This window comes from Homo sapiens, chromosome 9 (genome assembly GCF_000001405.40).
Source record: "Homo sapiens chromosome 9, GRCh38.p14 Primary Assembly".
Taxonomy (NCBI): Eukaryota; Metazoa; Chordata; class Mammalia; order Primates; family Hominidae; genus Homo; species Homo sapiens.
This window is the reverse complement of record NC_000009.12, coordinates 80,222,642-80,227,104: the sequence shown is the minus strand read 5'-3', so window position 1 is coordinate 80,227,104 and position 4,463 is coordinate 80,222,642.

Here is a 4,463-nt window from a genome sequence, read left to right as displayed (position 1 = left end):
CAAATGAGAAAACATTTCATGCTGATGGATCAGAAGAATCAATATCATTAAAATGGCCATACTGCCCAAAGCAATCTACTGATTCAATGCTATTTCAACCAAAACACCAACATCGTTTCTCACATAATTGAAAAAATCTATTCTAAAATTCATATGGAACCAAAAAAGAATTATTCAAATAGCCAAAACAATCCTAAGCAAAAAGCACAGACCAGAGGCATCCCATTCACTAACTGCAAACTATACTATAAGGCTACAATAACAAAAGCAGCATGGTACTGGCATAAATACAGACACAAAGACCAGTGAAACAAAATAGAGACCCCTCAAATACAGCCACACACCTATAGCCATCTGATCTTCAACAAAGTTGACAAAAATAAGCAATGGGGAAAGGACTCTCTATTCAATAAATGGTGCTGGGATAGCTAGCTAGCTACATGAAGAAAGAAACTGGACTCCTACCTTTCATCGTATATAAAACTTAACTCAGGATAAATTAAAGATTTAAGTGTAAGACCTCAAATTATAAGAATACAAGAAGAAACCCTAGGAAACGCCATTCTGGACGTTGACCTTGGGAAAGAATTTATGACTAAGTCCCCAAAATCAATGGAAACAAAACCAAAAATTAACAATTGGTATCTAATTAAACTAAAAAACTGCTGCACAACAAAATAAACTATCTATAGGTAAAGAACCTATAGTATGGGAGAAAATATTCACAAACTATACACCTGACAAAAGTCTAACTGCCAAAATCTATAAGGAACTTAATTCAACAAGCAAAAGCTAACCCCATCAAAAAGCAAGCAAAAGACATGAACAGACACTTTTCAAAGGCGACATATGAGTCCAACAAATACATGACAAAATGCTCAACATCGCTTATCATCAGAGAAATTAAAATCAAAACTGTAATGAGATACCATGTCATAACAACCAGAATGGCTATTATTAAAAAGTCAACAAACAACAGATTCTGGTGAGGCTGTGGAGAAAAGGGAATGCTTATGCACTGTAGTTGGGAATACAAATGAGTTCAGCCCCTAAGGAAAGCAGTTTGGATATTTCTCAAAGAACTTAAAACAGAACTACCATTCAACCCAACAATCTCATTACTGGGTACATATCCAAAAGAAAATCATTCTACCAAAAAGACACATGCACTCAGATGTTCATCACAACGCTATTCACAATAGCAAAGGAATGAAATCAGCCTAGGTGCACATCAATGGTGGATTGGATAAAGAAAATATAGTACATGTATACCATGGAATACTATGCAGCAATAAAAAGGAATGATATCATGTCCTTTGCAGCAACATGAATGCAGGTGGAAGCCATTATCCTAAGTGAATTTACATGGGAATAGAAAACCTAATACCTCACGTTCCTGCTTATAAGTGGAATATAAACATCGGTTACTCATGGACATAAAGACTGTAAGAAAAGACAGACACTGTGGACTATTAGAGGGGGGAGGGCGCTACTACAGTGGAAAAGGTTGAAAAACTACTTATTGGGGGCTGGTGCAGTGGCTCACGCCTGTAATCCCAGCACTTTGGGAGGCTGAGGCAGGCAGATCACAAGAGAGATCGAGACCATCCTGGCCAACATGGTGAAACACTGCCTCTACAAAAAATACAAAAATTGACTGCTCGTGGTGGTGCACGCCTGTAGTCCCAGCTACTTGGGAGGCTGAGGCAAGAGAATCACTTGAACCCAGGAAGGGGACGTTGCAGATCACACCACTGCACTCCAGCCCGGTGACAGAGCAAGACTCCATCTAAAAAAAAATATATATGTGTGTGTATATATATATATATGTGTGTGTATATATATACACACATATATATATGTATATATGTATAATATATACATATATATATATATATGTATGTATTGGGCACTATGCTCATTATCTGGGTGATGTGATCATTTGTATACCAAACCTCAGCATCATGCAATAAACACGTGTAACAAACCTGCAAATGTATCCCCTGAATCTAAAATATAATGTGAAATTTAAAAAATTAGTAAAAATAAAAATAATAAAGGTAAAGTAAAAATAAAATAAATTTTAAAAATAAAAGTTATTTTTATGTTTATTAGGATGCAGAATTACATAAAATTATAGTTAAATAAAGTCATTAATTGTTTTGAAAATCAAGGTCATTAAGTTTATATTTCAACTTTGACCTTGACACAGGCTAATGAAGAATCTAGCAATATGTCCCAGTACTTAACAGTCCCCATGAGTGTGAGAAGTAGAATACACAGACAGAACCCATATAACCATATTCTACATATGATGGTTTTAATACAGGGCTTTAAATTCTTTGGCATCCTTTTCATCCAGAAATGGAACCTATGTGTTTTTGCCTTGAATTTGGACAGGTTTTTTATGTCCTCAACCTGTAGAGCAATGTCAGTAAACTGTGTCCTATTGACCAAATCTAGGTCACCTTCCTGCTTTTGTGAATACTGAAGCACAACCATGTTCATTTATATATTTTCTATGGCTTTTTGTACAACGGCAGAATTGAGAAGTTGCAATGGACACTGTATGGCTCTCAAATTCTAAATACTTACTATCTGACCTTTTATAGAAAAAAGTTCTCCAACTCCTGAAATAGAGTATAATAGAAAGGATGCTATATAATATCTAAGACTAGGCCATAGAAGATCATGCAGCTTCTGCTTTGTTCTCTTGGAATGCTTGATCTTTGGACACTCCTTGGAACATTATTTTGAAACCTACCCATTAAGCTATGAGAAGTTTAAGCCACAGAGGAAGATACATGTAGGCACACCAATTAACAGCCCCTGTTGGTCTCAGTCCTCAAGTCATTCCATCTCAGGTGCCAGATATGTAAACTAAAAACATGTAAATGATTCCAGTACCAGCCATTTGAAGTCCCATGAGCTGAAGCTCTAGACATTAGTTGCGGAATAGGGATAAGCTATCCCTGCTATGCACTGTCTGAACTGCTGACCCACAGAATCTATGCACATATTAATATTTTTGTTTCCATGCTAAGTTTGTAGTGCTTGGTTATGCAGCAATAGTTAACTGGAGCACCATTTCTGCATATAGGAGATCTACACTTCACAGAGGACATGTTTAGACATTAGTGTTGCTGCTCCATTTAATATAAGAATGTATACACACAGATATGAAATGTACATGTTTATGTAAATTCTATACCTACATAAGCTAGTCTGTATTACCCATAAAATCAGAGATTTTATAACAACTAACCTTTTTTTAACATTTCTTTAACTGTTTCAATAACTGATAAGTTCTTATGCTGTATAGATCTTCTCTTTTAACCATCACAGAAACTCTTAAGAGATGTAATATTATTATTTCTATTTCATAAATGAGAATACTGAGACAGAAAGAGAAAACTTGCACAGGGGTACCCATCAAAGAAGTCTTAGAGTCAGGATTTGGACCCAGGCAGTCAGGCATTATACCCCCTTACTCTCGTCACCAAGCTATATATTGAGGAAGGGGACAGAAGCAGAATGATTACCTAATGTCCAGGAAGTTAGAAATTTAGCAGGCATGATAGAAAGAAGACAGAGCTGGAGTCACAAGTCCAAGGCTCTAGTAATAAGTAAATTCTACCTTCATCTAGATATAGATTTGTTTAAAAAATGAAAAAGGGCCCTGAACATTTTAGTGATTAAGTTTTATATTATAAAAAATGACAAAGAACAGAATATTACTAAGGGGAGGGAATAAAAAGTTATCAGTTATTTTCCAATGGCCTAAACTATTGATCAAAATGAAATCTTTATTAAGTATTAATGCCATCAGAAGTTGTTTCCACTCTTAATTTTTCAATTTCTTTTTTGCCCTCTCTTGGCCAAATTTCAAAGCCTAACTCAACATTTTAGAAATAATATCATAAAATAGTTACATCACACTAAGTCTCCATATTCCAATGCTCCTTGAAATGGAGAATCTAATTCTCTAAATAATTTAAACAATAAAATATTATACTTTTGACATCGATGGAAAGATAGGAGAAGTTGCTTGTGTAGTAAAGTAGTAAACAACAAGTTTTTGACCAGTTAGGTTGATTTAAATATAGATACTAACCCAAGTTTCTACACCTGTGCTAAAACCTAGTGACAGGCCACAAATGGTTTCTAAATGGATAATTCGGTGAATTCAGCCAAATTCATTCTACAAAATGGGTTATTAGTAGTAGTAGCAAAAGACAGGGTTTGACTGGCCAACTAGGACATATATGAAGACCCCAAGATAGACAGTATCAAAGACAAATTATATAGAGTAAGATATTGCTTCCATTATCAGTCCATGGAATGGGTCATCCAGGATAGAAGAAGAAACAGATCTGTTGCCAAGTATGTGAAGCCAGAGCCATGAAGAAATGAGTGGTAGGTGGTTAGAATAGACCAGTTCTGAGAACCACAGGGAGCAGCGT